At 34.8% G+C, this 25,364-nt stretch overlaps 1 protein-coding gene across 20 annotated transcripts in view; it reads right to left on the bottom strand.

Annotated features, from left to right (window-relative positions):
* CNTN6 (contactin 6) overlaps positions 1 to 24,712 on the bottom strand; it is a 311,194-nt gene extending 286,482 nt beyond the window's left edge. For 12 of the 20 annotated variants that reach the window (NM_001349358.2, NM_001349350.2, NM_001349355.2 and 9 more), the window contains exon 1: positions 24,616 to 24,712. The gene's annotated coding sequence lies outside the window, so the exon portion shown is untranslated. Of the gene's footprint in view, positions 1 to 10,022; positions 10,130 to 24,510 lie in introns of all 20 variants that reach the window. The other 8 variants (NM_001349351.2, NM_001349354.2, NM_001349361.2 and 5 more) reach the window with 3 other exon arrangements.

Raw genomic sequence — 25,364 nt, 5'->3', positions numbered from 1 at the left:
CAGCATTTCTGGTTTGCCCTATGCATTGGTTAGCAAGTTCTGGGGAACCTCAAAGATGCAGGGAGCAATGCAGGAACTTGAAGGAGAGAAGCTTGGAACTCTCCAGTAGTATCTGCAGGTGAACTTAAATGCATACTAACAGGTTGTAGGTTCATTTCCTGCAGTACAAATTAAAGTTCCCAATTTTCACATATAGAAATTGATACAAAAGCTTAGAGATGTTAAAGAACTTAGTAAGGTCACACAGTAAGTCACATACCGATCAAACAAAACTAGAAAGATAGGGTCCAGAGCCTGAACCCATAACCACTATAACACATTGCTTTTCTGCCTCCTAATTATTCAGCCATATCAAACCACCTGCAGTTCCCTGAACAGGACTTACTGTTTCTGATTTTTGTTTTTAACCTTTCTTACCTCTCTGGCTACCATGTTCTTCTGTCCTTGGTCCACCTGGTAAACACCAAATGGTACTCCAAATCTTTGTCAGAGATTCATTTTTCTAATTTTAAGCAATTATTTATATTTATATAAAAGTAATGCACACGTGTGTTTAAGAAGCCAAATAAACCTGAGAACAACAAAGGCAATATAAATCTCTTCCCTAGGCCATTCCCTGTAAGCATCCACTCTATTTTCCAGTTATTCTCCCTGGCATTTACCTCCATATCTCTAAATAATGTCTATGACACGGTGATACTTTGATTCATGACTTGGCATTCCCCGGCTGGGTGCTGTGGCTCATGCCTGTGAAGCCACAGAGGGAAATTTGCGAGACTGAGGGAGGTGGATCACTTGAGGTCAGGAGTTCAAGACCAGCCCAGCCAACATGGCGAAACCTTGTCTCTACTAAAAATACAAAAATTAGCCATGCGTGGTGGCAGGCGCCTGTAATCCCAGCTACTCGGGAGACTGAGTTATGAGAATCGCTTGAACCTGGGAAGCAGAGGTTGCAGTGAGCTGAGATTATGCCACTGCACTCCAGCCTGGGCGACAGAGCAAGACCCTGTCTCAAAAAAAAAAAAAAAAAAAAAAAAGATTTGATGACTTGGCATTCTCCATTGGCATCCAATTTTAACAGGTAACAATACGACCCTCTTGTATCTCTATTCTCCACTCAGTTTTCCAATATAATTCTATATCAGGTTTTCTTTCCATCCATATTCCATATTCAGTACTTTCATGCTTAAGCCTATACAAATGTTGTCCACTGAAGATTCAAATAGTATGATCACATTTTCATTGTAAACAACTTTTGCTTTTTTATTTAAGAGTTAATAATTTATTTGTAAGTTTCATTGCTTTTATTGTTTTGGCATCTACAGAAGAGGTTTTGTTTGTTTGTTTGTTTTTGCTATTCAAGTACTCTATAAAATCGTCTTGATACAATTTTCCTCATGATAGTTCCTGTCAGATAATCCACTCATTCCTTCGATTTTGCTAGAGTTATTTCTTTGAAGCCCTTTCCTACACTACTACAATACACATTTGTTTTTCTCCAGGCCTGCTAAACTGCTATTATTAATGGACTTCCCTTAATCCTTCTCCTTGTTGACTCTCCTGTTTTACACTCCTTGTCTTTAGCTTCCTTTGTGTATTCCTGATTTTTGGAGCATGTCTTCAGATTTCTGATTACAGGGAATAAATTTTACATAATTTTGGAATACAAAAAGGATTTTTATTTTACTCTCATATTTGCTGAAGGTGTCCTCTGTATCACTATGGTTCCAAGATATGGATCATTTTATTTAGGATTAAAAATTCTTTAGCATTCTGACGTTACTGCTACTATCATCAACTTATTTTTATTTCCAGTCTCCTTTCTGGATAATTTATTCAATTTTATCTTACAATTCTTGTAATAAGTGTTGTTTTGTTGCCTTTTTTGTTTGTTGTGAGTCTGGCTATCATAACTGAAACGTCCTCAAATTCTTTCTTATTCTCTGTTGGTGTTCTTTTGTTTGTTTATTTATTTATTTATTTTGAGACAGAGTATCACCCTGTTGCCCATGTGGGAGTGCAGTGGCACTATCTCAGCTCACTGTAACCTCTGCCTCCCGGGTTCAAGCAATTCTCCTGCCTCAGCCTCCTGAGTAGTTGGGATTACAGGCATGCACCTTCATGCCCGGCTAATTTTTTTTTGGATTTTTAGTAGACACGGGATTTCACCATATTGGCCAGGCTGGTCTCAAATTCCTGACCTTGTGATCCGCTTGCCTTGGCCTCCCAAAGTGCTGGGATTACAGGCATGAGCCACCGTACCCGGCCCTTTTGTTTATTGTTTAAGCTTCCCTTTTATGATTGAAAAAGGCTTTAAAATCTCTATGAAGAAAATGGTGATGTTTTGGAACTGTTCTTAATCTTTCTTCATAATGCCAGTAATTACTTAGTTGGGGTCTTACCTTCTTTTACTGAGGACTCCTCAAATGTGATAACCCTAGCAATACATTCATTTATCTGTGCTCATCATTGTGGCTTGTTGACTTGTGGGCTTTCTTCTTAGGTTATCAAGGCTAACTCTGGTTTTTACTGGGGAATTTCTAAACATGGGTATTTAAGAGCCTATGTGCATATGTTACATTTATTTATATTTATGTGTCTTTCACCTTATACACAGAAGGATCATATAAACTCCCAGCTTTCTGCTATTTTTTTGGTCTTAAAACTGAAATTGTGCTGCTCCTGCAGCTCAATTTACCTACAAATATTTTCCAACCTCCCGTAGGTTGAGAGAAAAAGAAGGTCTAAGTGACAGACTTTCAGATGAGCCCTCTATTTTAGGTTTAAGCATTTCTACCACTGCCTCCTAAGATGCCCAGCTTCTGAGCCTTCTAGGGGAGTCTGCACAGTAATTCACTTGCTTCTTCCAGTTGTCCTCCTTTGAAAGCACTTTAGTGTGACTTTTTTCTCCTATGTTTCATTGAAAATGAAATTTAGTTTTTTGTTTCTTGTTCTATTCATTATTGAGAGTCATTTTATGGGATGACCAGAGCAAAAAAAATGTCTTTGCTCAATGTCTTGAGACTAAAAATACCACTTTTGCGAAGTATTCTTCCTTGACCATCATCAATAATTATCTTTTGCCTTTTCTGGTCTACCATTTTACTATGTCCACATTTATGTTCTCTTATTTATTACATTTATCATGATCTTTGACAGATCCCTGTGTTCCTATTGACCTGTGATCCCCTTGAGAAAGAAAATGTGTCATTTCTTAAATTTGTATCCACATAGGACTTAACACAAAAAAGCTGCTAAATATCTGCTGGCAGAATAGAATTAATAGTGGAAAAAGCAAGAGGATGCTATTCTATGTCATTACTTCTATTCATCTCTTTACTTTTCTGCCACACACAGAAACTGGGTTCTCAACATCTCCAAGGCTTGATTCATAGGATGAGTAAAGCAAGCTAATGACAACGTGCATTCAAGTGATGGCTAAATAGGAAAGAGGCCCACACTGGTGAATACAAATAAAGAATTCTTCAATTAATGTTACCAGTCATTCTGCCTTTGCCACTGCTCTTCTCCTTTCTTTTATCTTATTTCAACCCTCCCGTTCTGCCAAAGTCTGCGATTATAATGGTGTATACTCATCAAGCCACACAGAACCGAAGAGTGTATTCTTTAGTTGAATGCCACCTACTTCTTAAAGACTTCCCTGATTGCCGAGCTGGAAATCATCTCTTTCTCTTTTGAATTCTGTAATACTTGTGCTATCACAGTAGCTGCCTCTGTGCACGAAAATCTCTACTGAATGAATAAATAAAGGAATGGTGACCATGTAGGAGACAGGATTGTCCTTGCTCTGTGCCCATACTGTAGTCATGGAGAGATATCTTAGAAAGATGATTCTCCTCTACCATTTGAGTGAGTGAGAGTATTTAACTAATGTGTTTTAGTAGCATGATGCCATTATATATGAGTATTCATGAATTGTGTCTGCAACTTGATGCAGCCTATGATTAAATAGAGGTCTTCAGTTAAAACTAGAATTCTATCAGGATTTAACTAGAGGGCGTAGGACAGTAATAATCACATCCTAACTACCTGAGTCCATCCCCTTAAACATATAACACAGCATATATTCAATAGTCTCATTGCCAGAATCATTAAATTTAAATACTACAGCAGTAAATGTTTAAAATTATCTTTTAATTTAATCCTTAAGACTTTTGATGACTTTATCTTTCTTCTGAAATCAGGCCCTTTTCCTAGAATTTACAATGAAGTTGTTCGCATATTGAGCAATCTATTTTATTGCATTAATTACTCCCAGTCTCACATTTTTCATATGATAATTTGTTATTTACTTATCTTCTCAACCAATAATTAGTCCATAAACTGAATAAGTCATGATTCTGGAAAAATATACATATGCCTCTCATTTATTTGGCAGAAGAATACACAAATACAGCATCTTTTTTAGTAAGATGAAGCAAATTTGAATAACATCAATATTTGTGAATGCATTTGGTTACTAGTTAATCCAAAGTAATTAGACCTTGTGTTAATTATTCTAAAAGTCCCTGGCCTCTTTAGAAGTTACAGGCAATATATTACTTCTACCACAGCCATGCTTTCCAGTCTCATCTCTTATCATTTGCCTGAATGTACTTTTTTCTTGTCAGACTCCTCAAGAGACGTCAGAGCCTGAGGAAAGTCACTCTGACTTTCATCTCTACAACCCAGTGCCTAATGCATTGCCTGGAACGTAACAAGTATTTAATAAGTGATAGTGTAATTAGTGGGGGCTCCATTATTACCATACTCATTATTCTATAAATAGCATGCATTTGGACCTCTTTCATTCATCTCTTCTGGAAAATTTCTTATGTTTGCTTTTCTCCCCAATACAACTTCCTCTCACTTCTTAATGCTATGGCCTTTTGAATATTTATGTGACCTGCCTGGGAGTCTGGCCCCTTGGAAATTTGGTTCACACACTATATTTCAGTATGCACGTTGTGTCTGTGATGGTTAATTTTAGGGATCAATCTGATCGGATTAAATAATACCTAGGGAACTAGTGAAGCATTATTTTTGGGCGTGTCTGCAAGGACATTTCCAGAAGAAATTAGCATGTGAGTCTGAGTGAACTAAGGGGAAGATCTGTCCTCAAAGTGGGTGGGCACAATCCTATCAGCTGGGGGCCTGGATGGAACAAAAACAGAAAAGGTGAATTGGTCTCTGCCTCCAGAGCTGGGCTACACTAGTCTCCTGCCTCCGACATTGAAACTCCAGCTTTTGGAGTTACACAGAAGCACTCCAGGTTCTCAGGTTTTTGGCTTTGGACTGAGTTAAACCATGGGCTTCCCTGGTTTGGGGGCATTTGAACTTAGACTGAGCCAGGCTACCAGCATCCCAAGGGCTCCATCTTGCAAAAGGCCTGTCCTGGGACTTTTCAGTCTGCATAATCGAGAGTCTCAATTTTTCTAATAAACTTCTGTCATAATAGCTATACACATACTTAACTGATTCTGTCTCTCTGGAGGACCCTGACTAACACAGTGTCTATCTTTCTTACTATGCTGTGAGCTCTTTTAGAAAGGAATCTCTAAGTACTTGAGAAGTAACAGGTGGTTAATGAGGTTTGATGAACTGATCCTTAAGTTTTACATATTTCCCTGATAAACTGAATAATATAGTTCAGAGGTTCCCCAGCTTATTCGTATCATGATCTCCTTAGTGGATCAATCATTTTTATGGCACCCCTAGGGCAAAATAACTACATAATAGTTCCATTTTTAAGTATTTTGGCTCAAAGAAGTTATATTCAAGTGACTTACAGGATGCTTTAAAAATATAATATGTATATATTAGAGGAAAAATAGCATTCTTATTTTATTCTTAAGTACCCACTTCTACTTACAACAAGCATACTACCACTGGGCACGGCACAACTTTTCAAAACTTGGAATAAGATTGCCCAGCCTCATTTCCTGTTCTACACTGATTTCACACAGTATTTCCTTTTTACCACAACATCCGCTGGAAACCCAGCTTTAATAAATATATGATATTGAAAGAAATATAATAAGATATGTGTTGAAATGAAACTACCTCACACTCAGTAATTGACAGATGTTGAGCATCACTGTTTCACCAGAATATTTAATTACATCCTATGATCCTTCTCTGAGTTCACTGTTGCATCCTAGGGTGCTTGGTGCTCTGTTTGGGAATTAAGAATGTGGTGGTAAAATGCGTTAATTTTGGCAAAAGCCTGCCTGGTTTTGAATTCTGACTCTACAATCTAACAACTGTTTTTTCTATTTAACCGATTTACTTTACATCTCTGAATCTCATTTTACTTTTCTATAAGATGGGGAATGATACCACATATCCTTTGAGGTTTTTATGAGAATTAAATACGTTAGCCTAAAGTACTAAAGAAAGTGCCTGAAACTATATCAATTGATGGTTGTTCTTGTTGTGATTGTTACTAATTTGAACTGTATATAATGCGTAGACAATAGAAATGAGCTAAATAGCACTGGGGTTCACTATATGGCCCCAGGGGACTACTGCTTTCCGCATAACATCTACAATAGTCCCTTATTCATAATAATTTCAATAATGCTACACTGGCTGAAATTCACTACTAGTTGCTGTATGTCAGACATTGTGCTAAGACTTTTAGATTCAATAATCTCACTTAATCCTCCATACAATCATATGAGGTGGGACAACTATTATTTCTCAATTTTACACATAGGAAAAATGAGGCCAGTGAAATCAAAGTGTATGTCTCTGGCCAATCATGTAGTAAGTGGTTCATCTGACAAGTATTCAAATCCAGGTGTGCCTGGCTCTAAAATTCGAGTTCTTTACTACTGCCCCTTCTAATTAACCAAAGGGTAAGGTTGATTCTGTCATCGGACTAAGAGTCCCTGCTCTTCTCATGACAGAGGAATGCAGCAGAGGTCATGAAATCAGATGTAGATTTGAATCAGGACCTGGGAGGACTTCAACTGCACATCGTTCTAGCTTCATCTCAATCACAATCCTGACAACATTGTCAAACCTGCTCCTCATATTTTTTTTTTCAAAGTACTGACTTAGAGTAGAAGATAAGAAAACTTCTCAGGGCTGCTGAATATTAAGTGAAAATCTTAGCAAACCCATTACAACATACATCACCTTCCTTCAAGCTTCGTCTGTATAAGGAATTTCTTTTTCCCCAAATTTGCCAGCTTTGAAAGATACTATTTTAGAAATGTTCAAAGGTTAGAATATGTGCCTAGCCCACCATCCAAGGAACAATGCATGGTATTGATGTCTTCCAGCCATGCACACCTCCATAAAAGTTTATGGAATCCTAAGTCAAGAGGCAATTTTTGTCTTTTGACAGTAATACAGAAAGTACCTACCTTCCCCATGATGGTATACCTGTTTTATGTGGTTTCTTCAATCAAAAAAAGATTAGATTCTTCCATTGTTTAGCAGAGTTGGATATGTTTTAAAGTCAATCTTTTAATAAGATTGACTATTTACATTTCCTAAATCAAAAAGCAATTCTCTTCTTCTGACATTAATACTTAAAAGTGATTCTTCTATCTGTTTTTATAGGACTTGGTTCACTGCCTTTTGAATGCACCTGATGTAAATATCAGATGTGAAAAACATAAAGCACTGTTCCTAAAGAAGGACATTGGTCAGATATATATTTGGCCATGTAAAATATTCAAGCAAATGGAAAAGCTGATAAATAAATGCTCCACTAACTAGACAACAATTTTAAGATAAGATCGATGGGTAGTTCAAAACTGAGTCAGCAGTAGGGACCCAGCTATAAAGACCTGTATATAGAAGAGATATGTAAAAATAATTAAAGACTTAAAAATTATAATAAAAGGATAGAGTATGGGAAGAAGCATTTAAAAATTAAATCTCTTTAGTTTCTTTGTCAAGAAGCTAATAAGGTTGTATACACACACAAAATATGAGTGTGTATATAAATAGAAGTATGTGTCTCTTCCTTTTCTGTTCAGATGGATCTCAGAAGATCATCAACAACTTGGGTAAAAATAGAAGAATAAAAAATATATCATTTTTGCAGATATAACTAAATCTTTGCAAATATGTTAAGAGAAAATAAATAATGTAAATTTTTGTGTGTTCTAAGTTAGAATATGTGTGAATGCAAACTCAAAATAACTATATCTTTTAAAAAGTCCAAAGTAATAGAGGAGCTACTGGCTCTGTTTAGAGTTAAAAATTATTGCCACACAGAGAAACTTGTCTATTAAACTGGGAATAGAAAAACAATGGTAGATAATATTTATATTATTTTGACATTTTAAAAGTGTTTCTTTTTTGCCTTGGTAAATTGTAAACAAGAAGATTAACAATAAAAGATTAGAAACTATATTCTAAATATTACTTTCTTTTCCTCTACAATTTTGCATGCATCTCCAAAAAGGTACATTGAGTTTTTGAGAATGAATGTGGAAACCACAGCCACTGCATTCGTATATGAAAATCTGTATGTGAATTCCTGCTCTGTAGTCTCGGGCAAGTCCCTTGAATCCCCTTAGAGCCCCAGTGCTCATCGGGGATCATAATATCAAATTTATTATAATTTCAAATGCAAACGCTGTTTCCCCCTTAAAATTTTTAGCCTCATTTATATGTCTGTTATTCTTTTTATAATCTTATTAAAACAAGAAAAACTTTCTTCTCTTTTGCCACAATTAAAATTCAATTATTTCATGTTGAACAGACTAAACACACATAAACAATCAGGACTTTTGACTTACTTTACTACAATTGCTTTAAATATTTTAAATGGTAATTCTAAAATTGAATTATTATGTTCTCTTAAAGTGTCTAAACAGTCTGACAAATCAACAGTAGGTCCTTAACAAGAAAAACCTAAGAATTTAATTCTTGTATTTACCCTTACAAAATAGTAAATCTTAACTTCTTTTAAATATTTCAAAACTTTTTCTAAAAAGTTAGTTAATTTTTATATACAGTACTTTTCAACTTAAACGGGTAAGTCTAAAATCAGTTATTTATTTACAAAATTAAAAGTGCAAATACAAATCAAATCTGGCAAAGACTCCTTAGAGCCTTAAATATAACAAGCACTTTTTACACCAAACATGTAGAAACTATTCTAATTAATACAAACTTAATTCTAAACAGCTCAATGATATTACAGTTTGAGCACTCAAGAGCTCAATATCCAAAATCTGAAACGCTTCAAGATCTACAATTTTTTGAGCACCAACAGGACTCCAAACTGAAAAATTCCACACCTGACCTCATGTGACACATCACAGTCAAAATGTAGTCAAAACTTTGTTTCCTGCTCAAAATTATTAAAAATACCATATAGAAATGCATTCAGGTTATATGTATAAAGCTTATATAAAATACAAATGAATTTTGTTTTTACACTTGGGTCCCAATCCCCAAGATATCTCATTATATATATGCGAATATTCCAAAATTCAGAAAATTTCAAACTCTAAAACATTTTTGGTCTCAAGCATTTTGGATAAGGGATACACAACTTCTAATACCATGAGTTTGATATATGTCATTGTCTCTATATTTTATTCTACTACCCAAGGTTAAAAAACATTTATTCTCTAAGGAATTTTGTCACCTCAAATGGATTAAATTTTTTTATTAGAAATAAAATTGAAAACGGGATGTAGATGCTGGGAGCTATCTATGTCTAGGGTAATTTTCTGCATAACACTGACATTAACACCCAGAGCCTTAATTATAATTATATTTATCATCACAACTGGAGATTCCAAATCTAAACCTTTCAGATGGAGGTAACTTTTGGGGAGTCCCAGTTATACTCTTAAATAATTTCGGGTGATTTATTTTGAAACTGCAATTTAGACCTAACTCCTTTCAGTAACCTCTTTGCAAGCTCAATTAATTGCATATCAATTTGGTATTATTCTAACCTGGCTGGACCACAACCCTTATAGATATTGGTCTGTCGTTCAGGTCACAACTCTGAAATCATGCTAATTATACACATTAGCACCTACCATGAGAGCTGAAAGGCAATTGAAAGGAGAGGAACATCATCTTCAGAAATTAGCCACCACACCTGGAGCATGGTCAAACATTAATAAACTGTTCAGCTTTTGTCACCCTGGAAAATTTAAAATTCAGAGCCATTTTACTTTGATCTTTTGGAGTCTAAAATATGATTAATGACACATTTAATGAGCAATCTAATTTTAAGGAGGAAAGGTTATTTGTTTTACCCTCTCACAATATGTGCAATAAAAAGTGGCATCTTTGACATCTACATGAATGGCAATTGCAAATGAATGCTCTTGGATTTGCCATGAATAAATATTCAGTCATGTCATAATTATCTATAGAATTGAACCAACTTAAAATTTATTCTTCAAATGAACAATCATATTTTGAAATGGGTACTCAACAATTATAATTTTAAACCATATGACATATTTTATGATCATTTTCTGGCTTTTGTGTGAAAAATACCTATTTATCAGCAAGGTCAACTGAATTTCTCTTACTAGTATCATTGTGATCATTACATTTATGTGTCAACTTGACTAGGCTATGGTTTGCCCATATTAAATAATATTTTGGACGTGTCTGTGAGGGTGTTTCCAGATAAAACTAGCATTTGAGTCAGGGGACTCAGTAAAGTAGATTACCATTTCCAATGTAGGTATCATGTAATCCATTGAGACCCTTAATAAAACAGAAAATGGAGAAAGGGAAAATTCATATATTTAGAGAGATAGATAGATAGATAATGTGGCACTATTCGTTCTATTTCTCTGAAGAGCCCCAACTAATATTTGAGTAACTCAACGCTGTTTTATTGTTATTATTATTATTGACCAAAATGATATATGTCAATAAAACAAAATAATCCCACCATGCAGTAAAAATACATGTGATAATTTTGGTTATGTTTTTGGCTTCTAAATTGTTCTGGCTAACCATGAGCCCAGAGAATATGTGAAGTGAAAGGGAAAGTTCATTGGATAGACGTCTAGCCAACATTACTTATAACCTGATATAAAAGTAACAGTCAAGTCCACAGTGTACTACAAATCACTTAAGAAATTTATAAAGGTGATTATTCTAAGCTATAAGTAAAATATGTTTGTTTCATGGCTTTAATATTTATTACTAAATATGCCAAAGTTTGAGAGAGAGAGAGATTGTGCGTGTGTGTGTGTGTGTGTGTGTATTACAGACAGGGGTCTCACTTTGTTGCCTAGGCTCGTCTTGAACACCTGGCCTCAGATCTAAATCAAACACAGGTTTGTTCCAAAAACTCTCTTTGGCAAAGTCAAACACCTTATTTCATTATGTTCTGCCAAAGTCAAATAACATCAAATATTAACATAATGTGTTATGGCAACGTAAATGCAAGCTAAAACAAAAATAAGAAGTTCTTTCTTGTTCTGACTATCTGGAAAAGCAAGTTATATATCTCACATTTGGGGAGGGTTTTTGAAGAAGAAAATATCACACACCTTGTGTATACTTTACCTGTCTGTAACATATAAATTATTTTTTAATTCAGGGATGATTACAATTTCCTTTTACCCTCAAACCTATTCCTGTTCCCCTTATGCAGTCCTGAATTTTCCTAACATACCAAATTCCTGAAGAGCCCACAATATAGATTACCTCCAAAACACAGGTCTCAAATACAATTTGTAGTGATGAAATAAATAACTACTTACATTTCCTGACTGCTTCATCATGGAGTGGATTATCATGGTTACCAAGGGCAGAGGCATAAATTGAAGTTTAACATTAATATCATCTTAATATGTGCTATTTTGTTCACCATTAGATTTAGATGACACTGTAATAGCATACTTGGAATGAGCACAGATGTATTTAATTTATGTTTCTCTAGTATACTTAGAATCTACATTCATTAAGCAGGCACTTAATGATCACACACCACAGGCCAGACAATGCTAGGTGCCGGAGGTAAAAAGTTGATAACACTGGACCTATATTTAGGAAACTTTAAGTTGTAGACTTGCTTATGACCAGATGTGCAATTAGGGACAAACACTGATTTATCTTTAATAAGACTAGAACAATAACTTTATATCACTTGTAGCTATAAAAATACATTTAGAAACATTAACTATTTCAGTTTTTATCTGACCATTCTGAGTTTGTGAAAGCCAGGTCAGGTATTACCGGCTGCACTGTGTACATTTGAAAACTGAGGTTCAAATAATTTATAAAACATTTTTCAAGGTTTCACACTTAAAATGTAATAAGTTAAATGTCTTATAAACTTGAAGAAAAGTGAAAATTACAAGTTATCTCACCGATATCTGATGAACTTCCTGAGCATAAGAAAAAATGTAAAATATCAAAAGAATAAACAAAGGACAGAGGCTGACTTCAGCAAAATGAGCAGATATGAATGGTTCAAACACTCATGAAATATTCATTCAGGCATGCATTTTCCAAAAAATGTAATATAGAGCAATACTGAAATACTGTTATCTGTGTATTTGTTTTGTAATCCAATCGGAGAGTATTTACAATTAATAATATTTAGTATTAACAAGGATGGTCACAAAGAGCACTCACCTGCCTGCAAGTACAGAGGGAGTTGTCTTCCTAAAGGACAATTTAGTAATATACACACTCACATTTTTAAAAACCCACAATTTGACATGCAAATTGTACTACTAGGAATTTGTTTTTAAGAAATAATCAGACACATATTAAAAGATTCAGGTACAAGGATATGTACCATAGCATTGTTCAATAAATTGTGTAAAAGATAAATATCTAACAATAGGTTATTGGTTTGAGTAAAAAGGGAACACCCATCTGGTGAAAAATCCTTCAGCATTAGGAGAATATTTAATGATACTTGAGAATGTTTATAAGATGTTAATTAATAAAAACAAGCTATAAAGCAGAACATATGCATTAATTTCAATTTTGTATTTTAAATGCACACACACGCACACACGTACACACATATACAAGATGACTGAAAGGATGCCACATGCAGAGTAATAGAATAACAATCTATGCATATTTTGTCTTCTCCAAATTTTGTAATAATAAACATATATGATTTTATAACTGGAAAAATGTATTAAATGATATTCTGTTGGTTATTAATTTTCCTTCACTTGTTATATACGTACTAATTTACCAAGGTTATTCAATAATTTAGTGTAGTTTGCAAATTTTGAACAAATTTTACCTTCTTAGTAAATCCACTGGTACTATTCACTTGACGAAAATGAATACCTTTCAGGGAAAGAGTTGGGTCTGTGATTAGGAAATTCCATAAACATGTGTATAATGTGAGATCCTATTTTTGTTAATCCTCTGAAAAACCCAGAATATCTCACTCTCTATAAAAACAGAGGAATAATTATTATTCTTAGTAAATATATGTTTCTTTTTATTTAGTCTTTTTGGTGCATCTCACTATGCAAGTTTACTTTACTAAAATAATCATCTTGGAATTAAATAATTTAATGGCTTCTAATGCTCATTTGTCAGGTGAGACCGAAAATTAACAATGTTAGCCCCCCTTTCCACCTGGTAGAGTTGTATACTTCATTGAATTCAAGAATACGCATCAGATGTGAATTTTACAGGAGCAGAACTCTTCTCTGTCTTGTTCATAGTTGCATCACTAGTGCCTGAAATAGCATCTATTACATAGTAAGTATTCAGCCAATATTTGTGGAATTATTACTAATATATATTGTTGAATAAAAATATTATTAATATTGGTAATTTAGTACGTTAAATTATTTATCAGAATTAACTAGAATTTTTGTACGAATTGAAGACCGTTTCATGTAGAAAAAAAATCATAAAAGAAAATAACATCCGGGGGCTAATACTCAAAGACTAACATTATTTTTGGATACCTAAAGATATATGTGAATCTTGAAACTTCACTGGCAGAAAATGAATTTTTGTTCCATGTTTCTTTGGAAAAATGACTTTTGCCTCATAAGTAAAAGGAGCCCCCTAATGGTAAAAGCAATTGGCTCAGGCATTGTGTCTTGTGTGTGTAATTTCTTAAAAACTGCTGTTTGGCTTCCTATGTTGAACTACGCATAACGAATAGATTATTTTCCTTTAAACTCCAGTCTCTCTTTTTCTATGAGAAAGTTGTTTCTGTTTATTGCAAAATCACTCCGTACATCTGCATGACAAAAGACAGAATAAGAGTGAAGTCAGTAAAAATAATACTTTTGCCACCTAAGTGCCCTAAAGAAAGCAGATAGAAAACTTCCTTCTCTTTTCTACAAACCGCATAGGCACAGTCTGCACAAAGGGACAACAAAAAAGGAAAGTCGGCAACTCTGAAAAAATTATATTTTATAAGCACCGGCTAATTCTAATAGAACCATTTTCAGCATATACTTTTGTGGTAAATTTATATATAGGGCTGTCAAAATTCTACCTGTCAGCAACACAGATTCACAACTGAGCATGTTTAGGAATTGACTAACGACATTAAATGCCTAGAAAACACCTTCATGTTCCACTTTAAACAAGTGTGTTCTATCAAGTCTAGAATAACAGAAACTTTTTCATCTCAGCACAACTTTAAGGACTTTCTTTTTTTTTTATTTTTATTTTTTGAGACGGAGTCTGGCTCTGTCGCCCAGGCTGGAGTGCGGTGGCGCCATCTTGGCTCACTGCAAGCTCCGCCTCCCGGGTTCCCGCCATTCTCCTGCCTCAGCCTCCCGAGTAGCTGGGACCACAGGCGCCGCCACCACGCCCGGCTAATTTCTTGTATTTTTGGTAGAGACGGGGTTTCACCGTGTTAGCCAGGATGGTCTCGATCTCCTGATCTCGTGATCCGCCCGCCTCGGCCTCCAAAAGTGCTGGGATTACAGGCGTGAGCCACAGCTCCCGGCCTGGACATTAATTTTGTATAAATGTTTTCTGTGTATTATATAGCCTACCTATTATTTTAATGCATGTCTATTTCTTATTTATGTATTTATTTATTTTTTGAGACGGAGTCTCGCCCTGTCGCCCAGGCTGGAGGGCGGTGGCGCCATCTCTGCTCACTGCAAGCTCCGCCCCCCGGGTTCCCGCCATTCTCCTGCCTCAGCCTCCCGAGTAGCTGGGACTACAGGCGCCGCCACCACGCCCGGCTCATTTTTGTATTTTTAGTAGAGACGGGGTTTCACCGTGTTAGCCAGGATGGTCTCGATCTCCTGACCTGGTGATCCGCCCACCTCGGCCTCCCAAAGTGCTGGGATTACAGGCGGGAGCCACCGCGCCCGGCAGGACTGTTCTTAATTTATTCTTAACTCTGTTGATAGAAAATTAGCGGCACACCTGATTTCTGAGTTTCTCTTTCATTTACTGTGCTTTAGTGATTGGGAGACCCTGATAGATGCCAGAGAGGAAAATCATGTTCTTTCACTAAAAGCTCTATTCCAGCAAGTATATTGCACTCCTGCTATTTAGAAAGATAGCTCAGCGGTCTCCATATAGAGCTCCTTACACAACCACATTAGACATACAAATATGGGAAACCAAATAAACCTTGAAACAATATGCAAAAAAGGCATTGAAAATAAAATGTCTACATTCTTTTGAGAGCTCATTCATGTTGGCCTCTTACATGCATGAATGATAAATTACTAGAAACTTCACCAAATATCTTATTTGATCTCTCCTTCCCGCCTTAAAAGAAGACTTTTAAAAAAGGATTTTAAAAGGACCCATCCAATATTCTCACTTTTATTCAGCAGAAATCATCTTAAAAATATGGTCCGTTTAGCATTCAGCTTGTACTGTGTCACTAGGAATTGCTGTGCTAACAAAGTTTTTGAATAATTGCCTCTAGATTTTAAGAATTTGCATACCATTAAACTTAAGGAATTAATAGAGCTGCCACTCCCAAAGAATATATAAACTAATAACATCCACTGGCTTGCTTTTCTAACTAAATTCTAGAGCTCCCTAACATATTCTGTCATTGGACTAAAACAAGCACTTTAATTTGTTACAGTAATGTTTGTGGAGCCAATGGAAAGACATATACAATTGACATTAACCATTTCTTATTAGATTATATACCTGAGACTTGACAATGTTTCCAGAAAAAAATTAGCAAATGTTCCATTGCCTATTACAAAATAACTCCATGAAACCATAAGAGTACCTGATAAAAATAAAATACCAGCAAGTGAGAGTTTGATGACTTTCTAAATGATGGAAAGCGGATGGGAACAAGTCCAGCCAACATGGAAGTATAGGGAAGTACACGGCACCATGCAACGTGAAGAGGGATTTCTTTTCCACTACAAACACATGTAAATGCTATGTAAGTATAAAACTCTTTAAGAAGTACACATAGCCGAGGTTAAATGTTAAAGAGGTAAGCCCTCAGAGGCACCAAATGGAGAGAAACTCAGACTGGCAAGGAGATTGTAAAGTTGGAATAACCTCCCAAAAAGGGGTCCTTTGCATTACATAGCTGACCTTATGGAAACTTGGTGATCTGGTAGAAAAAAGAATCCGAAAAAGGCAATCAGAACCCAGAATGTGTACTATGCTTGGTTGTAGGGCCCAAATTCATTCTGTCTATATGGTAATATAATTTGAAGCCAAAAAATTCACATATAAAATAGTCCAGAACCAGAGATATTTGTAGAGCCACTGTAGAATCAATAGCAATGCGATGCTATGCAAAAGCATACACAACTCAAACAAGGTTGGTCTCCCATAGAAAACAACATCTGTTGAAGGTGAATTTGTCATAAAAAAATTATGAGCACCAGGAAGAATGAACCACCATGAGGGAAATCCAGCAGACATAAGTAATAAAGAAATTTGACTCTAAAAATTAAAATAGTAAAACAATCACAATCTAAAATAAACTTACTGAAATTTTTTTGAGAGCTTAAGAATGGGAGAGAAACTATTAAGAACAAGCAGAATAGCAGGATAATTTTTAAAAGAGCAATATAAATTATAGAAATTAAAACTGTTTTTTAAAAAATAAAAGTATAAAATACAGATTGGTAGAAATTACACTGACTGCAACACTAGAAAATGAAAGAAATGCAAAGAAATCAAAGACAGAAGCCTAGAAATAATGAATGAGCATTCCTGAAGGAGAAAATAAAGGGATTTAAAAGACGCAAGATTGAAATATATAATAGCTGAGAATTTTTCAGAATGGAAGAAAGATTTAGGAGCTTGCAGAGGCCTAAATGAGATAAATTTGAAACAACTCCACAACTACATACATTGCAGTGAACTTGAAGAAATCAATGACAAAGAGAAATTCTTAAAATCTGTCCGAGTGAAAAGACGAATATTTATTCAAAAGTGTGATAATTACATCATAAACAGTCCCCTCATGAGCAAAATTATATTCCAGAAGATCATGGAACAGAATATGCAAAAATTGTTGAGAGAAAAGTATCTTCCACATAGAGTGCTCTGATGAACTACAGTATTATTTTAGAATGTGACTAACATAAGCGATTTTCAACAAATAAATTTTAAGGGAGTTTAAAACAATTTTTGAATGACCTTAAAATGGTCTTCAGAGCACAAGAAGAGAATCTAGGAGATGCACATAAATAGCAAGAATATGGTAAATAAAGAACTCAGGAAATCACGTCATAAGTCTAAAAAAACCTTGACAAAAATATTGGGGGCAGTTTAAAAATAAATAGTGCAAATATGAGCACTGGGAGAAATATCTCAGAGTAAATTTAAACAAGTCATTGTCCTGTTTATGAAGAAGATATATACACTATCTTTAGTCTTTATTTGAAAATATAAAAGTACATTTTATGTTAAAATAGTTATTTACTAAAATACGATAAAGGGAGTATACCATTTTTAACTAATAAAAGTTGAAAAAATGAATAAAGAATATTTCCTCAAACCAATAAAAGACTGTTTACTAAAAAACACTTTGGTTGAATATGAAGTAAGAAGTAAGAAATAAGTCCAACTTCATCAACATCATAGTAGGTGCGGATGAATTAAGTACATTTGTTGAAACATAGGAATTCTGAGACCAGAAATAACAAACATGAAATTGTTGACATGCAGCACGGACTTGATATTCTTAATGAAAATCTCACTTAATGTGTATAAGTTTTCAATGTATGTGATAATAGAACACTGCAATAGTGAATATTTTCAATAAATTAAATATCCCTCAATAAGGGAATGAATAATAAGAATATAAAACACATAAGGTGAAATATATCCTAGAACTGTATTTATTTATTTAAATTAATTAATTAATTTTTTGAGACAGAGTCTGGCTCTGTCACCCAGGCTGGAGTGTAATGGCTCAATCTCGGCTCACTGCAAGCTCCGCCCCCCGGGTTCCCGCCATTCTCCCGCCTCAGCCTCCCCAGTAGCTGGGACTACAGGCGCCCGCCACCACACCCTGCTAATTTTTTGTATTTTTGGTAGAGACGGGGTTTCACCGTGTTAGCCAGGATGGTCTCGATCTCCTGACCTCGTGATCCGCCCGCCTCGGCCTCCCAAAGTGCTGGGATTACAGGCGTGAGCCACTGAGCCCGGCGAAATGTGTTTATTTATAAGAATGAGTCTAAATAGTCTAATATGGAATGAGTTACACAAGTTAAATAAGTTTGCTTTCAATATACTATTTCCATAATATTTTAAAATAATATTTTATATAGGCATACATATATAACAATTATATGTAAATATACAATTCATGGTAATGTAGAATGAGGAATGGACTAGGTAGAGTTACAACGTAGGCCCTTATTATATATTGTATTAGTATTTTCATTTTATGAATACTGAAGATGTTAAATCTCCAATAAAATTTAGCATTTGGTAATTCTGGGGGTGGGAATTGGTCATTATTAAATTTAATCCTTACCTGAATACTTAAAATTTCCCACTATATATATATATATATATATATATATATGTGTGTGTGTGTGTGTGTGTGTGTGTGTGTGTGCATTACTGCCAAAAGAATTCAAAGACTTATGTAACACCTAAAATTGTCTTGTGAAAGTGTGAAAATAGGAAAAACTGCCCATCTTTAAAAAAATGGAGTCAGCAGACATGATGTTGAGTTTATAGATTCTGCAATAGAAGTCAAATATATTATTCAAATGTATAATGGTGGCCAGAAGGAAAACATTACAATAAAATAAACTATAGAAAATATCTCTGTGAAATAAGACAGGAAATCATGGAAAGGTCTTTATTTTTTATTTTATTGTTTTCTCTATAATTTCAAATTTTATTGTTGTTGTTTCCAGGTGCATACATTACTTGATTAAGGCATTATCATAAAAAAAGAACAACAACAACATAAAACAACAGGAAAGAAATGTACAAGTATTTGTGATGTTTTTCTTTGAAGAAAGAAATTCTGGCTTATTTGTTCTCGTGCTTTTCTGTTCATTGCTTTTATAATCAAAAAATCAAATATACCCTTTCTCTTTTTTTTATTTTTATTTTATTATTAGTATTATTATACTTTAAGTTTTAGGGTACATGTGCACAATGTGCAGGTTAGTTACATATGTATACATGTGACATGCTGGTGCACTGCACCCACTAACTCGTCATCTAGCATTAGGTATATCTCCCAATGCTATCCCTCCCCCCCCCGCAAATATACCCTTTTTCTTGATCATGTCCAATTGCTTGGTGTATACAGAAATACCATTTCTATTTTTAATCTAGTTGGATCCAGAGACCAGCATCTCTATATCTTCTCACCATTTTTCCTGAGCTCTATTTTAATATCCACTTATGATTTACACTCCAAATTTAATTCTCTATTAAATACCCAATACAATTGATTAGATGATAATTATAATTTTAGTCTTTTCATTGTTTTATATTATTTTTACCCAATTGATCCTAAGGCTCATATATAAATGTTATAATAGCAATAATAATATAACAATAACTAAACAACTAACACATAGAGTGCTTCTTAATTGCCAGGCTTTCTTCCAAGATTTTTTACATATTTACCTGCTGAATTCTCTTGAAAATACTGTAAAGTCAATACTAATATTATCTCCACTATGAATGGGGAAACTGAAGTACAAAGAGGCTAAGAAACTTGCCTAAGACCACAGAGCTATTCTGTGCTAGATATAGGGAAGGAAATCTACAATGGGCGGCACTTCAGCTCAAGAGCTTGCCTCCTGAATCTTGCTCTCACTATCATTTTATTGACACTGAGAAATTGCTATTTGCTTTTTAGTAAGATCATTCGTTTTTTATAATACTTCATACGACACATCATGTTCTTTTATTGCCTCTTTTAAGGATTTGAAATATAGGGAAATTCAGTTATTTATTCATTCATTTATTCATTTAATTGTAAACCTAATACATATAAGTTTTCTACTCAGTATACTTTCAAAAAGGATTTGAGTCTACAGATTTTGATTCATGTTACTATGATGTAACGTTTCTGTAAATTACCTTAGGACTCATTGCAAAATAGTTAAGTAGGCCACAGACTTCATCAATATAAACTAATAGGGGACATTATCAGAAGGCATGCCCAATGGCTCTGTTTTTCCTCTACTATGTCCTGTGTTACGCCTTTACCGTAATAAATGTTTAATACTACAACACATCATGCAGATGAACTCAGTCTTAACTAGAACAGCTCTTTTCAATATGAATACTGAGAATAACAACATTCTAATAAAATTTTCATTCAAAGAATTCCTCCAAACTGAAAGATTGCTATTTAAAACTCCTTAAATAAAGAGATTTTTAAATGTCCTCTATTGTCCCACAGAAACAATAAAGAGAAATATAAAAGGTGGCAGTGGTCGTGGTGCAGATAAAAAACGAAGCAAAAACCCTCCGTCTTCAGTGAAAATGTTAGTGGACAAAACCCCAAAACACGACTTGAAGCCCATTTCCACTGTAGCCAAATACTAAAAATCATGGACCTTTGGGGGACATCAGAGAAAACCGATCAGTACTTTCTTTTTCTCTTACTTTCAGGAGGATACAGATTGCCCAAAAACCTGCCAGCTGAGGAAATTGCTAGAGTGTTAAGAGAAGGAAACATGTATTTACAAGATCACAATACAGAAGGTTGTGCCTTAATAGGTTTATTGCAAGCTATACTATTCATTCAAGTGGCAAACAAGAGAACAAGTGGTTCTCAAATAAAGAAGATAACCAATTTGTCAATTAAAATTGAAAAGAAATTTGGATATGAAAGATGTGGAAAGTAGACAAATGAGATACAACATGTACAAAATTGGTGATCCTGAAGAAAAGAAAGAAGCAAGATAACCACAATTTGGCCACGCCCAGTTAAGGGACAAAAAAGAAATAGTACAACAAATCCTAAAATAAAAGAATCTTAAATTAATGGGGCAAACCTCAAAAAAAGTTAATGAAAATGGAACAAATCCAGGAATATTCTGTAAAAGCAAACACCCATACACACACTCACACACACACACACAACAAAAGAATCATGTAGGCATTTATCAGAAAAAAAGCAAGTCACATTCAATGACGGAAATTGCAGACAGACCTAAAAATGTTGCAAAACAACTTTCAGTACAGGAAGGGTCTCCAAAAATGTTTAAACATTTACACATTTCCAAAAGAAAAAATTAAGCTTGATCCAAGAAAGATAACGTATCTTGCATGTCTAAGGCAAAAGAAATACATGTTCAAGATGCAAACTCATAGAAAATATAGCACCTATGACTATTTCTTTGGTGGAGAGGTACTACTTACTGAAATCTAACAACCCAAAAAATAATTGAAAATAAAGAACACAGAAATGGTGAATTGGGTAGTAAAAGCCTGTTGATAAAGGATAATTCCTTACAAATTTGAAATAAGTTTAAACTGAGACCATGGGAATTCAGCCAGAATGTATGTACTCAGTAATGTAAAACTGATGTAGTTTAAATTGAGGTGGTATGGGTGGAGTTGATGACAAGTCACATTGCAAATGCATTTAACTATCATAACAAGGGTTATAAAAGTTTGTTTACTATTTAAACGTGCATCCAAAAAAATCTTCAAACTATTTCTATTTTCAAAATTTTTGGTCTTAACTGTAAGGGTATTATTCTGGACATAATATCTCCATTGGAGAGAAATCTATACATGAAATTTAACAATTTCTTCAATGTTGTTTCAACTTCTCTTTTTTCAGTTTAATTAAAATCTAAAATCAAAAATTAAACTCAATGTTTCTGTTTTCTGTTTTCTGTTTGTTTGTTTGTTTGTTTGAGATGGAGTTTCACTCTGTCACCCAGGCTGGAGGGCAATGGCGCGATCTCTGCTCACTGCAAGCTCCGCCTCCCGGGGTCAAGTGATTCTCCTGCCTCAGCTTCCTGAGTAGCTGTGACTACAGGCACACGCCAAAACGCCCAGCTAATTTTTGTATTTTTAGTAGAAATGGGGTTTCACCATGTTGGCCAGGATGGTCTCAATCTCTTGACCTCGTGATCCGCCCGCCTCGGCCTCCCAAAGTGCTGGGATTATAGGTGTGAACCACCGCGCGCGGCCAATATTTCTGTTTTTTTTTAAGTGTAGGATAAGATCTCATTCTTACAGAAGAGTATCTATTATTGACTATATTATCTAAATATTTATTATTTATTTTTTAAAAGGTGTATAGTAAGAAACCATTCTTACAAAAGTATTTATCTCTCATCTTATCTGAATTTAGGCACCAGTATGTCTCCAATGATAGTCGCCAAATTTCATGATTGTTATTTACAGGTGATGGGTTTTCCCTTTTGAACTTTTATGTATAGTTTGAGTCATTTTTAATAGGTAGAACTTATACTTCTGCATTCCAATTAATATGTTATTAAAATAAACAGTGAATAAATAAGCAAATATTTTGTATTCCTTCTCCTCACATAAAAGAATTTAAAAGGTACAAATTTACTATTATACTACTGAGCATTTTTACTTACTAAAAAAAAAACCCAGAAGTATGCAATCAATTTAATATACCACACATCCTTTTCACAACATAATTGATTTTTTTTAGAGGGGGTTCTAAACTCAGAGAAAATATGTGATCCTTTTCTAAGTAAACAAGTGAATTTGTTTTCATTAAGGAAAGCTACATAAAAATTCTAAAAAAAAATTCTGGTCCTTCACTACAAATATTCAAAGGAAGTAATGCAATGAAGTCATTTATAAATGATTGACTTTTTTGCTAAGATGTGATAAGTTATGCATTTATATAACCTCACATAAAGCTTTATATAAAAGTTTCCACATTTATATATTTGAAATCTTTGGACTGCACAGCCATGATTATTGCTTAAAAAAAGAAAAAGAAACCCCACTGAAACATCAAAGATGAAATGCTTCTGTATTTCTTTTTTTTTACACAAATTGTGTAAGTATTTTTGTATGTTTATGTTTGTTTTGTGAACATGCGTATGTTTACACATGTGTGTGAAGGAGGAGGGAAAAAGAGTCTGCTTAAACATTTCTTTCCTTATAAAATACAATGCACATAAATTGGTGAAACCTTCAACAACAAAAATAAAAAGATGATAAACCCATCAGATAAATGAAAATTGCTCAAAACAAGCAATTCAATATTCAGCATATGCTTCTTCTTTTACAGACATCTTCAGAAAACATTGCCACTGTAGATAAAATTATGAATACCTCATTTTCCAAATTGATTCTGTGTGATTCTACTGTTCACTCTATTTTTTCTCAGTATAACTTCTATTTAGTCATTCTGTGAATGTTTCTCAGAGGACATAGTCAGGATGCTGATTATTTAAACATAAGTAGTTTTCATTTGGAGAAGCAAAAACTATGAATTCCAATTTTCCCCCCAAACCCCAATGTTACAGTATCCCATTAACATAATGGGTTATACGTGGCTAATCTCAGAGCTCTTAAAAGTTTTGTTCCCAAGTCATCAACTTCTGAAAGTTTTCATAAAGTATTATAAGAACCTTAATACTGACAACTTAACTGGTGTAAATGGTAAAGGAAACTCCAGAGGCTGTTATCTAGAAGCTGGGTATAAAGCAAAATGCCAGACAAAATTTGGTGAGCCCATATGACCTCCAGTCTTGCTTTGCTCCCCTTACCAAATTCTCCCCTAGGAAACTTTATAACCATTCTTTTAAATCATCCGGTGAGAACTGCAAACCCCACCCCTCATCCCTTTGATTAAAAAAAAAAAAAAGACAAAAAACATTTAGCGATCACATTTTCCCATCTGCCGTTACAGAAAGGGCGTGTAGCCATCTGAAAGTCCCAGAATTAGCACTGTCATCCCGTCTTGCCCATTAGTTTTACTGCAGCAAAGACTAGTGAAACACTGAGAAATATACCTGTAGTCTTTCTTTCCCTGGTTTGATCCTAACCTCCCGGAATACAGATTCAATACATTTCTCCCACACAAGGAATAAATGCATTTTAAACATCAGCATCATAGAAACACAGCATCAATAAAGCAGTGACTTCTCCCCCAACCCCAGCTTTTACCTGTTATGCTAATACAAAGACATTGAAAGGAAGAAAAGCTGCAGCTTGCCCAGCAATATTCTCATTGCAGCAGACACAGCACAATTTTGTACTTACAGATCTTACCAGGGAAATGTCTCGGGATCTTTACAGTTTTTCTGCAGAACTCTGTTTCAAGCTCTCAGCCAGGCATGCTGTGCGTCCAGGCAGAACCAAGCCGTATGGAATGTCTATGCAGCTGGGAGATAATGGGACTCTTTTTCCCAGCTGGGACTGCAAGCCTTTTATCCACTGAGTATTGCGTGGCTCTTCTCTGGTCTTAAGCATGAAATACGCTCCTCTCCTGCTGCATTCCTGTCGGAGCCAGACAATCAGTTCTTGAGGCACATGTGCAAAGCTCTCGTTTGGAATATTCAAAAGGAAAATTCTTTCTACATTGAAAGCCAGCTCTATCTTCATCAACCTTCACAGAATCAGAGAGAGCTGAGAGCAGCTGCCATTCCAGGGCCATGAAAGATTAAATTCACCCTCCTCTTTCTTTGACTGGAGATAGTCACTCCTGTCGGGTCATCAGAAAATCTCTCTTATTGAAAACTGGGTCAGACTAACTACTTATTAGGTTTCCAACAGGAAAGGAAGTAATTTTTTTCTTCCTCTGGTTTCACTGCATTGTCATTTGCAAGCAAAGATTAAGCTGGTCAAGGGTCTGCACTGATTTAGACAGTATTCAAATGTAAGCTTTTTGAAGCATGCCAGTAACTCCTATTAGTGAAGGTGAAGAGAAAAGGGAAATAAAATCAAATGATTGTATGCACTATCACTAAAACCTTTATAAGTTGTATTTTTTAAATGTGTGTATGAGGCTTCTTAAAGAC

The sequence above is a fragment of the Homo sapiens genome, chromosome 3, assembly GCF_000001405.40.
Source record: "Homo sapiens chromosome 3, GRCh38.p14 Primary Assembly".
Classification (NCBI taxonomy): domain Eukaryota; kingdom Metazoa; phylum Chordata; class Mammalia; order Primates; family Hominidae; genus Homo; species Homo sapiens.
This window is presented reverse-complemented; position numbering and strand designations above follow the sequence as displayed.